Source organism: Homo sapiens, chromosome 6 (genome assembly GCF_000001405.40).
Source record: "Homo sapiens chromosome 6, GRCh38.p14 Primary Assembly".
Lineage (NCBI taxonomy): Eukaryota > Metazoa > Chordata > Mammalia > Primates > Hominidae > Homo > Homo sapiens.
In genome coordinates, this window is record NC_000006.12 from 3,711,102 (window position 1) to 3,732,814 (window position 21,713).

General features: G+C 48.9%; 1 protein-coding gene and 1 long non-coding RNA gene across 14 annotated transcripts in view, besides 2 other annotated features; both read right to left on the bottom strand.

Annotated features, from left to right (window-relative positions):
- The window catches only part of LOC100507336 (uncharacterized), a 126,588-nt gene extending 117,612 nt beyond the window's left edge, over positions 1-8,976 (bottom strand). For 10 of the 11 annotated variants that reach the window (NR_187644.1, NR_187647.1, NR_187642.1 and 7 more), the window contains exon 1: positions 8,262-8,976. This is a non-coding gene — a long non-coding RNA (uncharacterized LOC100507336). The remainder of the gene's footprint in view (positions 1-8,261) is intronic. The other variant, NR_187641.1, reaches the window with a different exon arrangement.
- A 2,541-nt stretch (positions 8,977-11,517) lies between these two features.
- The window catches only part of PXDC1 (PX domain containing 1), a 29,095-nt gene continuing 18,899 nt past the window's right edge, over positions 11,518-21,713 (bottom strand). For all 3 annotated transcript variants that reach the window (NM_183373.4, XM_011514393.4, XM_047418376.1), the window contains 2 exons: positions 16,450-16,561; positions 11,518-12,635 (listed from right to left, as the gene is read on the bottom strand). In NM_183373.4, the coding sequence (NP_899229.2) occupies positions 12,518-12,635; positions 16,450-16,561 (230 nt within the window). In that variant the 3' untranslated portion in view covers positions 11,518-12,517. The remainder of the gene's footprint in view (positions 12,636-16,449; positions 16,562-21,713) is intronic.
- Positions 12,874-13,412: an enhancer, noted in NCBI's record as "H3K4me1 hESC enhancer chr6:3724209-3724747 (GRCh37/hg19 assembly coordinates)". NCBI's record gives its function as "activates a minimal SCP1, AML or CMV promoter by ChIP-STARR-seq in naive H9 embryonic stem cells {active_cell/tissue: H9 hESC(naive)}" and the evidence as "EXISTENCE:reporter gene assay evidence [ECO:0000049][PMID:30033119]".
- Positions 21,254-21,548: a silencer, noted in NCBI's record as "tiled region #15708; K562 Repressive non-DNase unmatched - State 13:Ctcf". NCBI's record gives its function as "represses a minimal TATA promoter and a strong SV40 promoter by Sharpr-MPRA in K562 cells {active_cell/tissue: K562}" and the evidence as "EXISTENCE:reporter gene assay evidence [ECO:0000049][PMID:27701403]".

A 21,713-nucleotide genomic window follows, 5' to 3' on the forward strand; every position in this document is an offset into this window, starting at 1 on the left:
CTGTGCTAACAGATTTATATCCTTTATTTCATTTAATTCCCATATTGACCCAGACAAGTAGTTATTCTGTCTTCAGTTGAGTAAACTGAGGCTCAGAGAGGTCATGTGACTGGCTCAGAATTACATGGCTGTTCAGTGGTGTAGCCAAGTTTGAACTTGGGTCAGTTTGACTCCAAAGACTGTACAGTGACTGTGCTCTAGTGCTGCCTTTGTGACTTATCACAGCAGCTCTGACATTTATTAATGCATAACTATAAGCCAGGCACGGTGGCTCACACCTGTAATCCCAGCACTTTGGGAGGGCGAGGTGGGTGATCACCTGAGGTTAGGAGTTCAAGACCAGCCCGGCCAACATGGTGAAACCCCATCTCTACTAAAAATACAAAAAATTAGCCAGGTGCAGTGGCTCACGCCTATAATCCCAGAACTTTGGGAGGCCGAGGCAGGCGAATCACCTGAGGTTAGGAGTTCAAGACCAGCCTGGCCAACATGGGGAAACCCCGTCTGTACTAAAAGCATAAAAAATTAGCTGGGCGTGGTGGCGGGCACCTGTAATCCCAGCTACTCAGGAGGCTGAGGCAGAATTGCTTGAACCCAGGATGCAGCAGTTTCAGTGAGCCAAGATCGTGCCACTGCATTCCAGCCTGGGTGGCAAGAGCGAAACTTTGTCTCAAAAAATCATAATAAAAATGAATAAACAAACACGTAACTAAGAGAATTACAACAAAATTACTTCACTATCGAAGTATAGTCACAATTACTAATAGCAAGCAAGTAACAACAGAATGGCACTTGGACCTATCTGGATGAGATAATCAGGGAAGGGAGTGAATGCAGTCAATCGCGGTTGCCAAGAGCAGGCTTGACCACTTTGTGTATGAGAAGGAAAACAGCCAGGCTTGCTAAAGAATCCGGGGTATTCCCGCCAACCTACCAAGGCAACCATAAGCTAGGCCCTGCTCAATGTCAGTTTTTCAAATTGATTATCAAGAAGATAATAAAGTCAATGAAGAAATCTAGTCAAGCCTGTTAGATGTGCATGGTGGCATGTACCTGTTAGTCCCAGCTACTCAGAAGACTGAGGTGGGAGGATCGCTTGAGCCAAGGAGGTTGAGGCTGCAGTGAGCTGTGATGGCACCACTGTACTCCAGCCTGGGCCACAGAAAGACACTGTCTCTTAAAAAAAAATTGTGAAAACATAACTTTGTAGAGATGCTCCAGTCAATTCATCTCCAAAACTGGCTTCTAGCTCACTGTGATAGAGCCAGCCACACAGAATGGGTGGTGTGGGTTCTGAGATCTCTGTGTGTGTGTGTGTGTGTGTGTGTGTGTGTGTGTGTGTGTGTGTGTTACAGAAAGGGGGGGAGGGGGGGAGAGAGAGAGATAGATAGGGAGGTACAGGTTTGTAAACCCGACATATGAAGTAATGAATCCATCAGGAGCCCCACTCCTGGTGACGCAACATTGTGCTTGATGGATGACGGGGCAGTGGTTCTGGGGGCAATGGGCTTGGAGAGGGCACACACTCCAGCATGAAATATGGGAGTAGGATCCCTGACAGAAGAAAGGCCAGGCATCAGGGCTTCACACAGAACAAGGCTGGTCCAGGCCAGGCTCTACCCATCAGGTTCCTGGGTGCTCCAGCAAAGCCAGTCGGAAGCCCAGCCTCCGCATGAGCACAGGGCAGGGGCAGAACAGAGCCAGTGCCCCCCAGGCCAGGTCTGTGTGACTTCCAGAGACCCAGACCACAGCCCACCTGCTCAGTGGGGAAACTCCTGCCATCTGGCTGCTGCCCACTGGATGAGCTGGGATCTTCCAAATCTCAACTGCCACCTTGCTTTTGATGAGCCCAGAAACCAAACACCCTGCCCTCCACAGTCCCCAGGGGAGCCTGGCAGGGCTGTCCCTTATCCTTGGGTGCTGGCCCAAATGTGTTCCTTGAACAAATAAGCCAGACCCAGAGAATCTGTCATGTACACTTCCTCATTCTTCTTTCTGGTGAGCGGGAGGAGAAATTCCAGTGAAGGAGAGGAGCAAATACCCTCTCACGGCCACCCTGGGACTACTGAAGATCAAGCTGGGAAAGAATGAAGGGGTCATTTCCAGAGAAAATTCAGACTCCCTGGGGTACCCTGGGTGCTTGGGAAAGGCGTTAGCCTGTTCCAGACACAATGACACACTCGCTCAACGCATGGTTGTTTCTCGCCTTCTGTGTGCAAGGCATCTTTTCAGGGTGGGAATGCTGGCACTGAGCAGGACACACCAGGGCTCTGATCTCATTTAATAAGATCCAAGCGCCCCTGAAGGAGTTCCTGGGACTTTAAGCTGCTCAGCTCTTGTCTGGATGCAAATCACATGCCAAAGGAGTTTAGCTTAGAGAAAGAAGTTTCCAGGCCACATAACTAACTCTCAAATCTGAGCAGGAAGTGCAGAGCAGTCTCGGATAAACAGGCTGTGGATCCTGCCCTTGCAACTAGGAGTGGATTTGAAACTCAAACTCTCCATGAGTTGATGCTATCTGCAGGCGAACCAGAGACTGAAATAGTCAGGGCCTCTTTGGACAGTGGTTAAAATCTTCCAATACCCCACCAGGTAGTTGGTCTTTGACGTACCTTCTCACTACCCTTGTTTTGCTGTAATTCCGTTTGTTTATTTTTCCTCCTTCTCTATCTGGCTCCACCTTCTCCTCTTCCTTCTTGATACTGTGTTTTTGTGGGATTTCTTCATGCTAGCTGATGTCTATTCAGGACTGAGACAGCATCTTATGTGTCTCTGTACACACAGTGCCTTGTGCAGTGCTTGGAATGCAGTAGGTGCTCAATAAAAGTCACTTCTTTCTCCTCCTCTTCCTGCCCGCTGTCAAGGGCTCTCCTTGGTTCCTCAGGCCTGCATGTGGGTGACAGCATCACATCACAGAAACACTCATGCCTCAGGGGTTGCACAGTCACTGTCACCTCTCTGCCCACACTCTCAGAGGACTAATTTCATGGATTTTATCATAGACTTTTCTCCCCAAAATAGCAAGCTCCTGGGCTGACTCAGTCAACTCCATTTATGAAATGAAAAATATAAATTAGATGGGAACAAGGGTCAAGAAGACTATTTTCAATGAGTCAAAATTTCTCTTCAGTCACCTGACTGTCCCAGCGTGATTCTGAAGGTCCTGGCTTGGATGCAGTCTGTTTCCACTGAAACACATTAGCAGCTGAAATCAGCAGAGATCAAACCTGTCCTGCTGGGTTGTGTGGAATGCCAGAGGGATACCTGGTCATTAAGCTCCGTTTGAGTGAAGGAAAGAGGACTGCTTTGGAAAATAAAAATTTATTTTTAAAGCCACAAAAGTGAGGCCATTCCACGTCCTGCATAGTCCTGCACCTGGTCCTCATGGCTGTCACCATCACGAGTGGTCTCTCTACAGAAGGCAAGACCTTCACTCTAAGGAAGCTCATATTCCAGAACTGAAACTGTTGTGATCAGCTGCTTCAAGGATCATTGCCACTTCTAGCACAGTCCCTTGCTTTATCAATAAACAAATTAGAGTGATAACCCAAAATACTTATGACAGAGAATTAAGATTAGGCCTTTGTGGGCCACCATAGATTGATCGCAGTAATGACCCCGATTTGTTCATGCTTCCCTGTATCCATGCCCTTGGGTAGTGTCTTACCACATGGACACTGGACTTGACTCACCTCAGCCAATGGGATAGTACAAATGTGATGCAGAGGCTTGAAAAGCACTTGTGCAAGGGCATTTGGCCTGACTGCTCTTGAACCATGAGTTGCCTTGTGAAAAAGCCTAGGCCAGCTAGATGGAGGCTGATTGACCACATGGAGCAGAAAGAAAAAAACCACCCAGCTGAGCACTCCCACCCTAGCTGTTCCTCAACAAGGCCAGCCAAGATCAGCCTACCCTGGCCCCAAAGAGCAGAACCACCCAGCTAATCCCAACCCATATTGCAGGCCCAAAGAACCAGCAGCTGAATAAACAGCTGTTTAGCCGTCCACTTTGGAGCTTGTCTCATACAGTAAAAGCTAACTGATATAAGGGCTAATTTCCTTCACATGATAATAGAAAGAACCCCTACAAATCAATCAGGATCTCTATTCTGCAAATATATTCTCATGCATAAGAAATTTTTGAATATTCAGGTGTATCCTTTGCTGCTTATTTTGCAATGGCAAAATATTTGAAATAATCTCACTTTCCATCAATAGAGACTTAACTGTATTCACACATGTTGCTGATGGAAATGCAAACTGTGGAAATTTGCAACATCTACCAAATTATCATCTACCCTTGGACCCAGAAATCCACTTTGGAAGAATTGCCCTATAAATATACCCACACATGTATTGTGAAAAGGTCATTCACTGAAGAATTGTTTGTATAATCAATAAAACATTGGAAACAGCCCACGTCTATCAACAGGGAACTGGTCAGGGCATGTCCACAATGAACCACTGTACAGAAGCCAACCAAGAATGAGGAAGCTCTTTAAGAACAGATAGGAAAGAGCCTTAAGATAGCTTAGGAAAAATAGCAAGGTATAGAGAAGTATACATAGAATGCTAACTTTTAAATTTGAAAACCACAGAGTGAGAATATATATTTTCCATGTATACTTATATTTGCATAAAAACTCTCAATGTATAAATAAGAAATTAATAAAAGTGGTTCCCTGGGTGGGGGTAGGGGTTCTGGGAAATGAGCAGATGATTGATAGGAGGGAGAAGGAGAATTTTTACTATACACCTTTTTATTCCAATCATGTCTTTGCTGCCCTCATCACTCCACTAAAATTGCTCTTGTGAAGGTTGACAGTGACTTCTGCTGTGTTCAAATCTGGCATTCTTTTCCCACCCTCATCGTAGGTATAATAACTATCTCTTATGCGCTGATCTTTGGCTGTTCCTTGAAACACTTTCTTCATTTGGCTTCCAAGACTCCTCATTCTCCTCACTTTTCTCATATTCCCTGGCACTTCTCACTCTCCTTTTATTATTTTACTTATTGATTCATAGGGGTTCTTTGAATAAGAAAGAGGAGGAGGAGTTCTTTGCACATGAAGGAAATTGGCCCTTGTATCAGTTAGCATTTGCTGCGTAACCCAAGCTCACATGTGCCTCACTCTGCTTTGCTGGCACCTCTTAATATTAGGGAGGCTCTAGGGCTCAGTCCTCAGAACTCCTTTCTATCTATACCTGCTCTCGTAGTGATCAAGTCCAGTCTCATGGCTTTACATATTTCCTCTTTTGTTATGATCCTCCAAAATCTCCACCTCCAGATCTGTTCTTTCTTCTTGGCCCCAGCATTTTGGGAGGCTGAGGCAGGAGGACTTCTTGAGGCCCAGGGTTCTAGACCAGCATGAACAACATAGCAAGACCCTGTCTTTATTAAAATTTTTAAAAAATTAGCCGGGTATTGTGGCACACACCTGTAGTCCCAGCTACTTGAAAGGCTAAAGTGGGAGGATCACCTGGGTCCAGGAGGTCAAGGCTGCAGTGAGCCATAATCACGCCATTGCACTCCAGCCTAGGCGACAGAATGAGACCCTAACATTAAAAACAATAATAAAATCATAATAAAATATTGCTATTTGTATGTTATATTCCAAAATTGACACTTGATTAGAATAAATGATATGTTCAAATTATTTTTGAATAGAAAGAATGGATCTTGAATCTTGGCTGTAAGACCTGTCTAAATGTACTGAAGTGTCTAAGGAAGAATGTGTTAGGGGAAGGGCAGTCAGCCACAGTAGCATTGCAGAAGCAAACTTGTTCATTGCCTATCAAGCACTACCTGGTGGAGAGGAATCTAGAACAAGCCAACCAACTTTTGAGTGTCTAATCCAGCAGTCAGCCATAATAGTTCCATCCAAGAGGACACAGAGCACGGAAATCTAAGTGCCCTGTCTTCCCACCATCAACACTCCTCCTGGAGAAATGTTTCCCTGGTGAGCTGGGACTCTAAGACTAGGAAGAGGGTCCTCCCTCCTAACCCACATCTGAACATTTCAGTCACACTATAGGCAAGGCCACTCTGACATAAGAGATGCTATGGCTTAGACTTCCATGGGTGAATTCACTCCTGTTGTCTCTTCATTCAACTCAGAGATTTCCAATAAACTCATTGCCTATGTCAAGTTTTCACTCGTCCACAGAGAGAAAGAAAAAGCATGGTATAGTCACTTTTTAAAATTGCTTATTGATTTTTTTTTTTGGTGTGAAAATGCCCTCTGAAAACTCCAAAGTCTTTACACAATAATATTTCCAGTGGCATTAATGTAATTAATTCCCTCTATTACATTTTCTGTATTAGCAGAGCCAGATTTAGATCACTATTTGACTTTCCCCACTTGTAGGGAGTAAATACTCTGGCAGGACATGATTTCGAAGTATTCTGATTTTGGGGTCAGTTATTTCTATTGTACATACATAAATGGGCAGCTATTTTGGTGTTTGGACATCTGCCTCAAGACTGTTTAATATGAGTGTGCCCACAGGAGAGAAATTTGCTCTCCAGGTTACGATCTGCAAGACCAAGAGCATCCCCTTGGCCTGTGGCAAATTCACCACCCTTGGCCACCTCCCCACCACCCCATCCTCACCTCCACCCCCAAAACAGGAGCGAATAACAGGAAGTGTAATGCTTTGCCCAGAATCCTAATAAAATTACTTATTTAAGATATGATGTACTGCACATCAACCAAGCCCTTTAGAAGCAAAACTTATCAAGTTTGAGCAGATCATCTATTTCCGAAGTGCTTCAGGTAGATAAGAGATAGACAGATGAAAATATAGATATAGCTTCAAGACACGTTATTATTGACCATGAATGCTAAATTATATAGGCTCCAGAGGAATTCTTTTAGCTATTGTCTGAGAAGTGTATGCTTACATTCAGTTGGCATTTACATGAAGAAATATTGGCAGGATATACCAGAAATTAATCAATTTTGGGGGGTAGAATAAGGACAGGAAGCAGAGTGATACTTTCTACAAAACCTTTCAAAGCTTTTTAATTTTTGGACCGCAGGAATGTATCACCCATTCAGATTTTAAAAAGCAACACTGATATCTGCACAGAGCCTTGTTCATGTTGGAAGGTCTTTTGCATGAAGCATACAGGCATGCCACGTTTGGTTTTGTGTTCCCGCAACAGATAAAATCAAATCTCTCCATCAATCAGGGGTCCACAGCGATTGGTGTGTGTCATCACCATGGTTTCTAGTTTCTGTATTTGATGCTTTGACATTATGGGGTCATGCTGACCTTGGACTGTCCTAGGAATTAGCCAGTTCCTAGAGATGATAAAGGACTCGTCTGCTAGTTTGCTTGACACATGCACACCAATCCATCCATGAGCCCACATCCAACCACCCTTACTGGCTTTCATACTCTGGGCCACCATCCATCTACCCTAATCACCCCAGGACCAGGTACAAGACAACTAGGGACAGCCCCTAGTCCGCGGAGCCTGCTGAAATTATCAAACTGACCAATCTTTGAAACTGCTTAGTCTGGCTCCCTATCTCCTCCGCACAGAAACCACAATAAAGACACTTGCTATGCCTTCCCCTGCTCCTTCTGCCTCCTGACCTACCCTGGTACTTCTCACATGGCTCCCCAGGGCATATGTGCCCCCTCGACTTGGGATCTGCCTGTATAGCAAACTATCTTTTCAATGGCAGCCACCTCCTCATCTGTTGGCCTTGACATGCTGAAAAATAATACAGTCTGCATTTTAAGTCCTTGGGCCTAGAGGAGAATATTGGTCTGCAGAAGGCACAGAGAACACAGGACAGAAATTTTAGTTGCAATAAAAAGGCTTGTAATTTGACAGAATGCTTCTAAAATGAAACCCAAGAATATGTTCTATCCCCAACAGGAGAAACTAGTGAAGGTTAGGACACATTGCTCAGGGCAGTTTGGCTGCCAACACCCCCAGGTATACTTCTATTAATAAATGTCACAGCCACGAGAACTGTATGCTTATGAAGGAGCCCACAGTCAGCTCCATTACCAGGTAGCTTATGCTCGTGTGCCTCCCCACAAGGGAAGTGCTGGGGAGTGTCAATTCTGCAGGAATCACCACAGGCGGGACTAGGCAATGTTTACACTGTGCATTTTTCACTTTAGGAAGGCCTCATACATGAAAATGAGCATTTGTAACAAAACAAAGAAGGAATGATTCCTCAGCCCATAAATAGTGCATGCTGAAAGCGCTTTTTAAATAGGAAAACTTAGGTGACTTACATGATTTGACGACAGGAATTTGTTTGAATTGCTCACCACTTCACAGGAGCCTAAGGTGATCAAGTGAAGTTAACGACAGCAGCCTTCACACAATTGTCAGTGACTAAGGGTAGTGTCCAAGCCCCTGCAGCCAAGGGTGTTAGTTGCCAGAGCAGCACGAAGAGCCTAAGTGAGTTAGGAAAGAAGCTGGTCCCTGTGTGTTGGGAATTGCTGGGTTCTTGGTCTGACTTCAAGAATGAAGCTGCAGACCCTTGCAGTGAGTATTACAGCTCTTAAGGTGGGGCATCTGGAGTCTGTCCCTTCTGATGTTCAGATCGGTTCGTGGTCTCGCTGGCTCAGGAGTGAAGCTGCAGACCTTCACAGTGAGTGTTACAGCTCTTAAGATGAAGCGTCTGGAGTCTGCCCCTTCTGATGTTCAAACGTGGTTGGAGTTTCTTCGTTCCAGTGGCTTCGTAGTCTCACTAGCTCAGGAGTGAAACTGCACACCTTCGCGGTGAGTGTTATAGCTCTTAAGACAGCGCGTCTGGAGTTGTTTGTTCCTCTCAGTGAGCTTGTGGTCTCGCTAGGCTCTGAAGTGAAGCTGCAGATCTTCACGGTGAGTGGTACAGCTCATAAAAGCAATGTGGACCCAAAAAGCGAGCAGCAACAAGATTTATTGCAAAAAACGAAAAGAACAAAGCTTCCACGGTGTGGAAAACAATCCCCGCGAGTTGTCAATGCTGGCTCGGGCAGCCTGCTTTTATTCTCTTATCTGGCCCCACCCACATCCTGCTGATTGGTAGAGCCAAGTGGTCTGTTTTGTCAGGGCGCTGATTGGTGCGTTTACAATCCCTGAGCTAGATACAAAGGTTCTCCATGTCCCCATCAGATTAGTTAGACACAGAGTTTCACCACACAAGTTCTCCAAGGCCCCACCAGAGCAGCTAGATATAGAGTGTTAATTGGTGCATTCACAAACCTTGAGCTAAACACAGGGTGCTGATTGGTGTGTTTACAAACCTTGAGCTAGATACAGAGTGCTGATTGGTGTATTTACAATCCCTGAGCTAGACATAAAGGTTCTTCATGTCCCCACCAGAGCAGCTAGATACAGAGTGTTGATTGGTGCACTCACAAACCTTGAGCTAAACACAGGGTGCTGATTGGTGTATTTACAATCCCTGAGCTAGACATAAAGGTTCTCCAAGGCCCCACCAGAGCAGCTAGATACAGAGTGTCGATTGGTGCACTCACAAACCTTGAGCTAGACACAGGGTGCTGATTGGTGTGTTTACAATCCCTGAGCTAGATATAAAGACTCTCCACATCCCCACCAGACTCAGGAGCCCAGCTGGCTTCACCTAGTGGATCCCACACTGGGGCTGCAGGTGGAGCTGCTTGCCAGTCCTGCGCGTGTGCTCACATTCCTCAGCCCTTGGGTGGTCGATGGGACTGGGCGCCGTGGAGCAGGGGGTGGTGCTCGTCGGGGAGGCTCGGGCGGCACAGGAGCCCATGGAGTGGGTGGGAGGCTCAGGCATGGCGGGCTGCAGGTCCCGAGCCCTGCCCTGCGGGAAGGCTGCTAAGGCTCGGTGAGAAATCGAGCACAGCACCGATGGGCTGGTACTAGTGGGGGACCCAGTACACCCTCCGCAGCCACTAGCCCGGGTGCTAAGTCCCTCATTGCCCGGGGCCAGCAGGGCTGGCCGGCTGCTCCCAGTGCGGGGCCCGCCAAGCCCAGGCCCACCCGGAACTCCAGCTGGCCAGCAAGCGCCACACGCAGCCCTGGTTCCCGCTCGTGCCTCTCCCTCCACACCTCCCTGCAAGCTGAGGGAGTGGGCTCCAGCCTTGGCCAGCCCAGAAAGGGGCTCCCACAGTGCAGCGGCGGGCCGAAGGGCTCCTCAAGTGCCGCCAAAGTGGGAGCCCAGGCAGAGGAGGCGCCGAGAGCGAGCGAGGGCTGTGAGGACTGCCAGCACGCTGTCACCTCTCACCTGGAGGAATGTGCGGGCAAGAGTGAAAATTCACACATGAACCTCAACTGCTCTGGTATCGATTTTCTGAAATGACAGTTTAGAGGCTGACAATTCACAATTCTTTCACTTGGTCAAGTTTCTAATATATTTTTGTTTATTTTTATTTATTTATTGTCAACACCTCAAAATTGGGATATTTCACAAAGAAGAGTCAGATTTCTAGCTTTTATTGAAAAACTAGGAGATCTGGCCATACTGGGCCCATACTTGCAGGCAAAACAACCAGCTAAACTGAGCAGTGGTAGCTGCTCCCTTGATGCAGCGTCTGAGTGCTCCTGTTTGCCATAGCTGCCACCACTCCATACTGCTTCCAACAGTGATGCTGAGTGCCAGTAAGCATATATCTTTGCACCTAAAGAAACATTTATTTGTACTTATGGCTCTTTCAAGTGTGGGAATATAAAAAATGAACTTATGAGACCTATGTTTTTCCAGAAAAAAAAAAAAGGAAGCCAGAGAATGCTCTGATGTGCTTAATAGGACAACAGATGTCCAAACATCTCACCCCTACTGGCAAGACCTCATTGCGCACGGACTAGTAACAGTAAAACTTCTTCAGTGAAGGCTGAGCAGGGGATGAGGTTGGGGAGCCAAATTTGAGTCTTGACAGAGGAACACAGCCTGAGCAAGGAGGTGGCCAAGGAAGCTGCATCACAGTGACCGAATGGCTGGGGAGAAGCACCTCTGTGAAACGGATGAGACGAATCCGTGAATCAATCCTTGAAAGTCAGATGGGCATTAATTGAACATGCTGATCACTTCTAATCTTAGCTACTAAGCAGGAAGCCTCATCCTTGCACAGAACTGAATTTGATGTGTCAAGAAAAGAAAGGCAACCGGTCAACCCCGGAGTGAGCCACCTACTAGCCTATTTGAAATTGAGATGCTTTAAACAACACAGCTGGAAGGCAGAGGGAAATGCAAAACCAAAGGAAAGTCCATGTGCTTTGCAGCTGGGTCATCAAAGAGAATTCCTGTGGCTGCCAAAAAGAAAAATGGAGGAAAAGAAAAAAGCCTAAGTCAACCCCCGTCTCCCTCCAAAATAAAACAAGCAGTGTGTCCATTTTTCAATCTGGGCAGACCACTTCCCTAGGGTAAGAACATAACACACTTTGTCACTCACGGAATGTGACAGGAAGAGGGGGAGGGACCAGGCCCCAGGAGTCAGTTTTAGTTTCCACCCTGTCCCAAGGCAGGGGACAGAAAGAACCACGCCTTTATACACAAACATCCTGGACAGATCAAAGTAGAGTCATAGATTTTATTTAATTAAAATAGATTAAAAACAGACTGTGTAAAAGAATTAGAATTCTCAATAATTTACTATTATTTACATTAGCAAATGTCGGTCGTTAGTAGACACTGAGCAGAGAAGCTTGAAGAACGGGGATCCTCTCCTGTGGGCAGGGGAGCCCCAGCTTCCCTCGTGATTCCCGTCCTTTCAAGTTCATTATGGCAGCTCTGTCAATGAGCACCCCAGGGTGGTGTGGCCGCAGCACCAGGACCCGCGCTGAAGGCCCAGAGACCTGGCAGGCCGGGAAGAAATTCCTTTCCTTTGGGAAGAACCACCAACGCTCAGTCCAAGCTCACACGGTTATCTAGTCGGCAATGCCTTCCCTGCCCTGCAGCCAATACCCCCCACTGTGCTGGGCCTTCTGCAAATACTCCTGGGGTTGACCCAAACCCAGTTTCCAGATAAAAGATAAAAAGAAAAAAAAAAAGGCCACATATCCCAGTTCTCAGAGAAATCCTGGATTACTAAACATCCCCTGCCTGTGGCACCTGGAATGGGTGACTTGTCAAAATCTCCCTCAAGACGTTTTGTGCGTTTGCCGTGGGAGGGAATGGTGGGGAGTCAGGGTGGCTGGGGGGCACTAGGCCACTTCACCAAGAGGGATGCACCTCCCAGGAAGCAGTAGCAGTGAGAGCGAGCCCCACAGGAACTGTCCCTGCCCTGGCAGTGCGCAGCCCTGTGGGCACCAAGCAGGGAGTGAAGACCCTCAGAACACAGGCCCTGTGGCCTCCGGCTGTGACCTCAGCTTGCTGGAGACTCTGCGGTCAGCCTGGCCCACTAGGAGCCCCTGCTGCTCCACTTGCAGGACACCCAGGCCTCCTGGCGTCAGTGGGGCCTGGGACGTCTGGGAGTTCCAGAGCTGGGGCAGCAGCTGTGACCATGGGGGCCAGCACAGTGGACAGCATCAGAGCTGGCAGTGAACAGCTGAGGCGGGGGAGGCCTGATAGAGAGGTTCAGTCCCAAATGTCTGTCTCGAAGGGGACCAGGTGGTAATATGACAGGTTGGTGACGTAGGCTGCTGGGTCGTCCCCGTCCTCCAGCTCTGAGGGAAACTCACTGCCATTCTCAAATCTGAAATTAGAGAAACCAGAGGTGAGGGGTGGCTCATTGTTGGGATCAACACCAAACACCCGCCGGGACCATGAGCATGACTTTCAATGCCCGCTAGTAAGTGTGCAAAAAAACCACGGCTACAAATGAACTGGTGAGCTGGCTCCTGCTCTGAGACTGCCAGAGCTTCTGGTTTCCACTGCCTTGGAGACTGCTGTCTGCATTTGCTTAGACAACCCTTAGCGAGGCCTTCATCCATTCCTTCATTCATGGAGTGCTGATTTTCACCTCTTGTTCTGTGCCCAGCACCGCGTCAGGCTGTGGGATCAGCAGTGAACAAGGCAGGCAGGGTCTGTCCTCAGGGAAGAGGCGCCTGCCTCGTGCTGGGCCCTGGGGACAGCTGAGAGAGGAGTGGTCACGAGCTCACAGCCTGACCGCAGCAGAGATGACACACGGACGCACAGGAGGCTGCGAGGGAACAGGAGGCTGGAGAAGAGCCGGCGAGGCCCGTGGAGGTCACGGGGGGAGACACCTTCTAGCGGGGAAGCCTGCATGTGGGTACGTGTTTCATTCGCGCTCTGGCAGATGAGAAGCATCCGAACATGGGGGACTTACATGGGGTGTGGAGAACTAGGGAAGAATACAAACCCCAAACATAAGGGGACGTAAAAGCCCGCGATACTGACTCCCCACACACTGGAACTGTTTCTACTCCCTCTGCAGCCCAGGCAGACTTCCTACGTTAAGAAAAGAGACTCCAGGTCTTTAAAAATGCGTAACAGAGAAAAGCACAAGAAGGACATTCTCCCCAGGAAGGGGGACAGAGCTGTACGGCTCGTGGGATTTTCCTCCACCTATGAATCAGCCCAAACCCAGCAGGCCGCGTGGGAGTGTGGACAGAGGCAAGCAGCTGCCCCGCCCTCCTGGGAGCCACCTCGGGGCTGCCTCCTGTGCCGCCCCCAGTGACTGAAGGTGGCCCTGGCCCGTGGACAACTGTGGGAACTCAGCCATCTCTGGAAAGCTTTGCCATGACCAAGATGACTGCACAGTCCAGGCCCCTGGCCGGACACACAACAAGGCAGGGCGAGCATATGTCCCCCACAAACCTAGTACATCGTGCGAATCCCGCTGACCTCAAGGGACAGGGCTGTGAAGACAGCTTTAAGGCATTTGGATAAGAAAGGCTGAGGCTGCAGAGGAAGGCCTCCCCTCTGACTCCATGGCCAGGCCTGGAGTGTGGTGTCAGCCCCCGCCTCGGCTTCCCTATGCTCACGGTCCTGGCAACACGAGGCTGGGACAGAGGCCGCGGCACAAAGAGCCCTAGCTGTGGGTGGGAAAGCTATGGGGGGCTCACGGAGACAGAGCAGCTCTCCAACTTCATCCAGGGAATGAAATCTCTTCCCCAGACCAGGGCTGGATGGAAACCCAAGGGGGAACCTTGGGCGTGCCGAAAGGTTCAAGCCAGTCGAGGGACAGAGCCACAGCGCCACCTCAAACAGTGTCCCACCACCTGCCCGTCCTCCCTGCCCAGATCACAGGATGACCCTGAGGACATGAGGAGGGAGGGGGACCGGGATGCTCAGGGAAAATGAGTCATGGGGCTAAGGCTCCCTGAGGTCCCCACAGAACCGCCCAGTGCCTCGGCCCTGGATGACCTCCCAGAAGCCAGGCAATCCCTTCGCCAGCTGAGACTGTCACCTGCAGAGCCCCAGAAGTCCCCACTGGCCCCATCTCTATCAGATACATCCATTCCCTGAGTGCAGGTGGGTCTCTGGGCCCTGGCACTGGTGCCCACTTGCCCCTGGGGCCAGACTCGGGGCAGCCTGCTGAGACTCTGCTGTGGGGGCCCTGCTGTGGGCCCGGCGGCACTGGGCTCACAGGCTCGGGCCAGACAATCAGCCTCGGGTGCCAGGGAGGACAGCCACGCAGGGAGGTGAAGCCTCCAGTTCCACAAAGGGTGTCTGTGCTCTTGGTCGCTGTCAACCCCCCACCCGACAGCCGGTGCCGTGTAGAAACAGATCGTCCCTGTGAGACACTGGAGCTGGACCATCGACTCCACTGCACTGCCCGAGATTGAGGAGCCAGAGAAAGGCCCGGCAAGCCCAAGTCGGAACTCCCTCCAGATGCTCCCGAGCCCCATGGCGGCAGGCGTTTCTTTGTTAGGCTTTTCTGGGGTCATGGAGATTTTCTCGGCCCTCTCTGTGAGCCAGGCATCCCGGAGCAGGTGGCCGCCTATTCAAGACCTGTCACTCCTGTGCACATGCAGTCAGTCCCGGGCAGCTGCAAGAGCCACACCTCTGGCCCGGCTTTCTTCCCTCCGTGTGTTTCTCCTCAGCTCCAGCCTGCTCACAGTTGAACCTGCCTCCTAAATCTGGCCTCATTCCAGGGTGCCAAGGGCCTCTTGGATATAGAAAGGGGTCCCCTTGCAAACACTGCAGACTCAGAGCCTGCACAACTGGTGATGAGGAAGGGTCTCCATCTGTCTTCTCCCCAAGACAGTGCCTGGCCAGTAACTACCCCTGCCAAGCTAAAGGGCCTCTTTCTTTCATCCATGACTACACTCCAGCCTTGTACCTCCACGGTGCCAGCCTGTTGGCATGGGGGACCCATAGGTAATGAGTGAATGAGCTATGTACAGTGGGGTCAGGGCAAGGGACACAAAAGGGCAAGGCAGGTCAGGAAAGCTGCGGCCTTGGCCCCACCGGCACAGCCTCTGCCACCAGCAGCTCATGACCCCTCTACTGGGAAGGATTCTCGCACCATCTACCCGGGAGACACACTGGTAAAGACGGGGTCTGTTAGCAGGAGCCAGTCCCACAAGCCTGACAGGGACCCCCCCATGCTCAGTCATGGAGCAGGGATTCAGCAGAGGAGGCCCAGGCCGCCGGCTGGGGCCCAGGTTCACGCTGGGGTCACAGCCCTGCCGCCCACAGGCCCGGATGTGGGCCTCGGCACATGTGGCCGGCTCTAGTTTCAATCTGCTGCTATGGAGGGCTAGCAAATGCGTGGGGCAAGACCCGGGCCATCCCCAGGCTATGTCATTCCTGGGCCCACAGGGAGACTCTGCATCCAGAGCTGCCTCTGTGGGACTCTCAAGCGGGATGTTTTACACTCACCATCTGTGGTCTTCAACACAACCCGTGGTGGGACAGCAGAATGGTCCCGTGAAGGTAAGAGAAGTCAGGAAAGGTTAAATAACTTTCTGAGCTCATACAGCCAAGGAGCAGTCTGGATTTGGCTGTGTCAGGAAACAGAGGCCAAGCTGTCTGGGGACCCTGGTGCCCCCAGAATTCACCAAGAAGATGCCTGGAGGAGAGCCAAGGCTGAAGATGCTGCCGACCCCAGTGCCGGGCTCTCTAGAGCATGTGTTACAGTCAAATCAGAGACAGAAAGAGCGGAGAAGACAGTGGTGGCTTTGGCTGTCCAGCCTCAGTAATCAGATACATCCTACACCTTCAGCACAGGGCCAGGCAGCCTTGAGGCAAACATGTCCCCATCTCAGGGAATCAGGACCATTGAGTGTGAGGCATGTGGCCCTCCTGGCCCTGGAGACAGCATCACACCCCTCAGGGCCCCACACGAACCAGGCCCCTAGCCCTGCAACGTCTCCTAAATGCCCCTCAGAGCCAGCAACTCCATCTTCCACAGATTCACTCATCAAGATCTCACCAGACTCTAGGAAAGGCAAACTTCTAAAATCAGTGTCCAAATGCAGGTAGGAACTGCTGGGTGGCTCTGGGCACCCACTTCCTTCCATAAGAACAGTGAGCCCCCATCCCACAAGGCAAATGGCTCAGGACAGTCTATGAAACGATATTCAAATCAGCATACTTACAAATGCTCTGTTGGGTCCACGCCCAGCTGCTGGTCTCTTCCATTTGGTATACTGTGGTCAATAACTATTGTTTCGGTATTTGCTAAACAAAATCCATTGGACCTCATGATTTCTGAAAACCAAAGCAACAAGGTGAGTCCTCAGGAGGGGTCGGAGCTTGAGGTTTTGGAGTTTGGAACTTACTCCCATCTCCCTGCTTTCTCCTCCACCTGTTGCCCGTGCCTCTCTTCCACACCGTAAGAGAATGCCGTGCACCCGAGACCCATTCAGAGCTCTGCCGCACAAAGTCAGGGAAGAGGTCAATCCCCGCAGGAGCCAGGCCTGCTGTGTGTCTCTCCCAAGACAAAGATGCTCTGCTGCCTGAGTACGCTCTCCATATGCCCTTCGCTGTGGGCTTCAAGCTGGAGTACAAAGAAGGAGTACTGGGCTCAAATCTGTGAGTCTGCGTGTGAGAGCAGAGCTATGGCACAGTGACATGTGGCTCTGCCCAGGGTACCTCTCCTTGCTGAGCTCTCACTGTGGCTGAGACATGAGTAACAATATTGACTGCCCTGGGTTGTTGTTCTGACTGAATGAAATCAGTGTGCATTTTATTCTTATTTCAATAGTTTTGGGGTTACAGGTGGGTCTTGGTTACACGGATAAGTTCTTTAGCGGTGATTTCTGAGATTTTGGTGGATCCATCACCCAAGCAGGGTACACTATACCCAGTAAGTAGTCTTTTATCCCTCACCCCACGAACCCAAAGTCCATGATATCATTCTTATGCCTTCGCATCCTCATAGCTTAGCTCCCACTTCTAAGTGAGAATATACAATATTGGTTGCCCATTCCTGAGTTACTTCTCAGTGTGCATTTTAAACCAAAGGGTGACTTTCACTGTTTCGCTTTATGTAATTCTGTATGTAAATGATTTTTTTCCCAAATAAGCACAGATTCGGGTAATTTAGAAAAGCCAGCAAAGAAAAACGACTTCCTACGTCCATACTGGCTGCATGGCATGAGCTAGAGGGTGGAAGTCTGCGCTCGTCCTTGGCTGGAGGGGCTGGAATGGAGGATGAGGAGCCAGGACAACGAGCTCCATGGCCTTGGGACTCAGTTTCCTCCAATGAAAAATTTCAAAGTTGTATTAATCTCTGAGGATCCTTCTCACTCTGAAATCCCATGAACTCCTGGATCGCATCATGCCATCTGGTCCATCTAGGTATAAAAAGCTGCAGCGTTCGTTTGTATTTTCTGAGGGACCGCGTTTCCGTCCCCTCGCTCAGCAGATGAGATCTGGTAGCCATGGCCAGTTCTTGGAGCTAAAGTCCTCCAGCTGCCCGTGAGCCTGCTCATCTCCTAACCACAGCTCTAAGACCAGGACCACCTTCATCTGTTCTTTCGACTCAGAACCTCTATGCACCCCATCATAAAAGTCATGCCTAAAATATACTCCAAATTCCTGGTGCCTTCTCAAATCCAAGGGATTATCTTCTTCCCATTCAGGACACAGCTCCTAACAGCCCTCCCTCTCCCCTGGCACACCACACCCAACAGGAACATCGCTCACTGCCCCATCGGATGCCTTAGTTGCTTGGGGGACTGTTTTCCTTTATTTTTTCTTACACCTTACCACAATTTAGCCTGGTTCATTCCCGTGTATGGATTTGCTTTCTTTGGTAACTGAAATAGTCACTTTCTGTTTAATCTTTCTACATATTTGGTTCTCAGTTCTTTGAACTGCTTTCCATACGAAGAGAATTAGGGAAATTACACAAAAATGAGGAAAGAGAAACAGATTTCCTCCTCGCCCCCCATAGGATCAAAATGTCGATTCATCAGTCAGATTCATCAGGTCATTGCTAAAATTCCACCTGCCTTTCTGGAGAAGGGCCACTGGTGTTTCCTGGGGACATCAGTCCTCAGCTCTTCCCTGCCCTCCTCCCTGTACCACCTGGTAGGGCTGCAGGTCCTGAGAAGGAGCTCTGCGAAGCAAAGAGGAATCAGTGCCCAAAGTCTGGGGTCAGCCACACTTCCAGGTGTAAAAGGGGCGAAAGAAGATGCTTACCAAAGCCTCGCTGAACAGGCGGACTGTGAAAACTGCCATATCCTAACAAGATAAACTAAGATTCCCTCGCCTCTCTATCTAAAATGGGTGGCAGCACAGAACCACTGCCTTTATTGTTTTTATTAACTCTGACCCAAATCTGTCTTTCTTGGGAAGCACATAAAACCTCAGAGCAACCTCCATACAGCCAGCTGACAGCCCCATCCCCCTTTCTCCCACCCCTTTTGCAAAGGGAACTTGGTTGGGTGGTGGCCTACAAGTTAAAACAAATGTCACTGCTGCAAATCACTTCTGAATAAAATTCTGAAGAGTTACTTTACATGCCTAATCTTTCTTAAATGTGAAATTTGGAGCTCTATAAAACGGAGTCATTACCAGTCCCCCAAAAAATAGATTTGTAAGCAATCCTTCCTTAATTGCCTGTGACAAGGAGCCTCATGCACATACATGTGGTTTAATTATTTGCAAGGCTGGCTGGGCCCTGAAGGACACTAAGGTATGTCTGGTGCCTCCTGCATGGACCTTGCTGTCTCAGGCCCGGCCCAGAGAGGGACTTCGCTTAGACTCTCACATTTCACTAAAGATGGTCCCTGAGAAGCTCCGGTTCCCTCCTGGATCCCACCTCTGCTGTCAGCCCCAGAACCTCGAAAAACCTAGGGGCAAGCCAGCAGGCTACACAGCTGGCAGGTGTGCAGCAACCTCTGGAACATTTATTCCCAACACGGGTTCAGAAAGGGATGGTTTATTGAAAAGCAAATTGTCTTAAAACCTAGGGAAGTGTGCACAGCTTTTATACGCCTGTGCCAGGTGAAAATGGAGCACAGATTCTCTAACAGTTTACATTTTTATTTACTTGGTCACTTTAACAAACAAGTCCTAAGAAAAGCTGTAGAAATTAGAACACGTCCACAGTTTAAAAAAAAAAAAAGAAGAAAAAACATTTAGCTGTAGCAAGCCTCTAATTGTAGGGACCACTGGTTTAAGGAGATCTTCTTGCTAAGCCTGTAGCCTGTGCCCCGTTTCAACCACGGACAGCAGATATTTACATGGGAGTTGACCTCCCAGGTCAGTTTTCACAAGACGATGGTATAGACCATGAACTTGTACCTTCAGGCAAAAGGCTGCATTGAGATTCATTGCTACGGGACCAGGGAGCCTGACTTGTAACAAAATCCACTGATAACTTGCCATGTGCCTTCGGCCAGAGCACTAGCAAGCATGGCGTGTCTCAGTGTGGAATGCTGGCTCCTCAGGAGGCACGAGCAGGTAGGAAAGCATGCAGACTGCAGCTGGGGAAGGCTCTGCTACTTATGCCTGGAGAGCAGGTTACTTCTTGCTCAGTTTCTTCATCTGTACAATGGAAATAAAGGTATCCATTCCAAAGGCCATTGTGCAGACTAACTTGAGATGATGTATGTAAAGAATCTAGCAAATACTGAGGGCTCAATAAAGAGTCCTGAGTGATCTATCATGATCATTCAGTGCCCTTTTATTAATTGCCTAACTGGGCTACCCCTATTTAGTAAAAATAAGGTTGACATTATACAGAAGCCAGATTAATGAAAAACAGTGTTCTATTTCCAGGCCCCCTAAACCTAAATAATCAGATTTTGTGGCTGAAATTGATGAGTCCAAACAGCCGTATCAAGGCTGAGGTCCGCATTTCCTCACAGCTATTATGATCATTGTTAGTAATGTCCTCAGATCTGTTATGATGTAAATAAAAAAGAACGGAAGAAAATGCTGTCATTCAAGAAAAATTATAGCATCTGAGCCTCTCTTCAAACATACAGTGTGAATGTCTTAGAAGTCAGCTTAGTATCTATAGCAAGAATCTTTGACCAATGTAGCCATTTTAATCACATACATGACTGATTCCATGAAATAGTTGACTTTCAAGCTATTTTTTTACACTCATATTTTTCCAAATGAAAGCAGCCCTGCTCTTCCATGGAAACTGACATTGGCACAATTCTGTTAACTAAATGAAAGACCTCCTTCACTTGAATTTCAACAGTCTTTCCACCAACGTTCCTCTTTTCCGTGGGGGCCCCAATCCAGGATCTCTTGCTGCAATGAGTTGCTCTGTCTTGGTCTTCTGCGACCTCTGACAGTTCCTCCATCGTTCCTTGTCCCTCATGACCGTAGCACTCTTAGAGAGGACTGAGCTATTTTAGCAAATGTCCCTCGATTTGGGTTTGTTGGCAGTTTCAGAGTGATTCGATTGAGGTGATGCATTTTTGGCAGGAACCCTACACAGTGACGCTGCATGAGACCTGGAGTGGCATATGGGGGTGGGGCTGAGGCTGACAGGTCCTGCTGCTGCTGAGGCTGCTGTGGAGTGCCTGGTGAGGAGGCTTCTGCCAGCTGTTTCCACAGCGAAGTTACCACCTTTCCCTTTGTAGTTAATTGAAGGAGGATGCCTTGCAGCTATGCAAATCCTGTTTCTCCTCAGTTTCACTCACAAATCTTTGCATCTATCAATCAATGGATCTTTTTTGCAACAATTACCAATGTGTCTGTTTGCCTGATGGCAATTTTTCTGTTTTTTAGATGCAGCTATGTTTTCATAGCCCCACAAACGTCACAACCCCTCACTTCAATAACTCTATTCCTTTTCTCAGCAGACACGCGGTCTCAGCCGTGAAAGCATTCATACTCTAGCCTTCCTCCCTTTCACCTCCTCTCTCCCACTGTATTTCCCATGTACTCCAGCAACGGAACAAAACCCAAAGCAGTGCCCTTGTATTAACTGGCTAGCTGGGCTACCCCTACATAGTGAAACTAAGGTTGAGATTGGCCAGAAGCCAGATTAATGAAAAATAAAATTGTGATTCATTTCCAGGCCTCTTAAACCTGAATGGTCAGATTTTGTGGCTGAGATTGATGAGTCCAAGTTGCCAGATCGAAGCTGAGGTTTGCATTTCCTTTTACATTGCACAGCTGCAGCCATGAGGCAGAACGCTCTAAATTCTTGCTTTCTTACATTTGATAAGCATTGGGACAAAGAATGATTAAGGCTGTACTGGTTGGAAGCACTGCCAAGGGATGCAGTCCATCCTGACTGTCCTCACCGTGGCCCCAGGATGTGGAAACAGTCGCCGCGCCTGCTAGCGCCGGGCGCCATCTAGTGGAGCTCCTGACAACTAAACGATCCTAGAAAAGCCAAGGTACTCAGCACCTGCAGGTCCCCATCCCCAGCCTACATCATGAG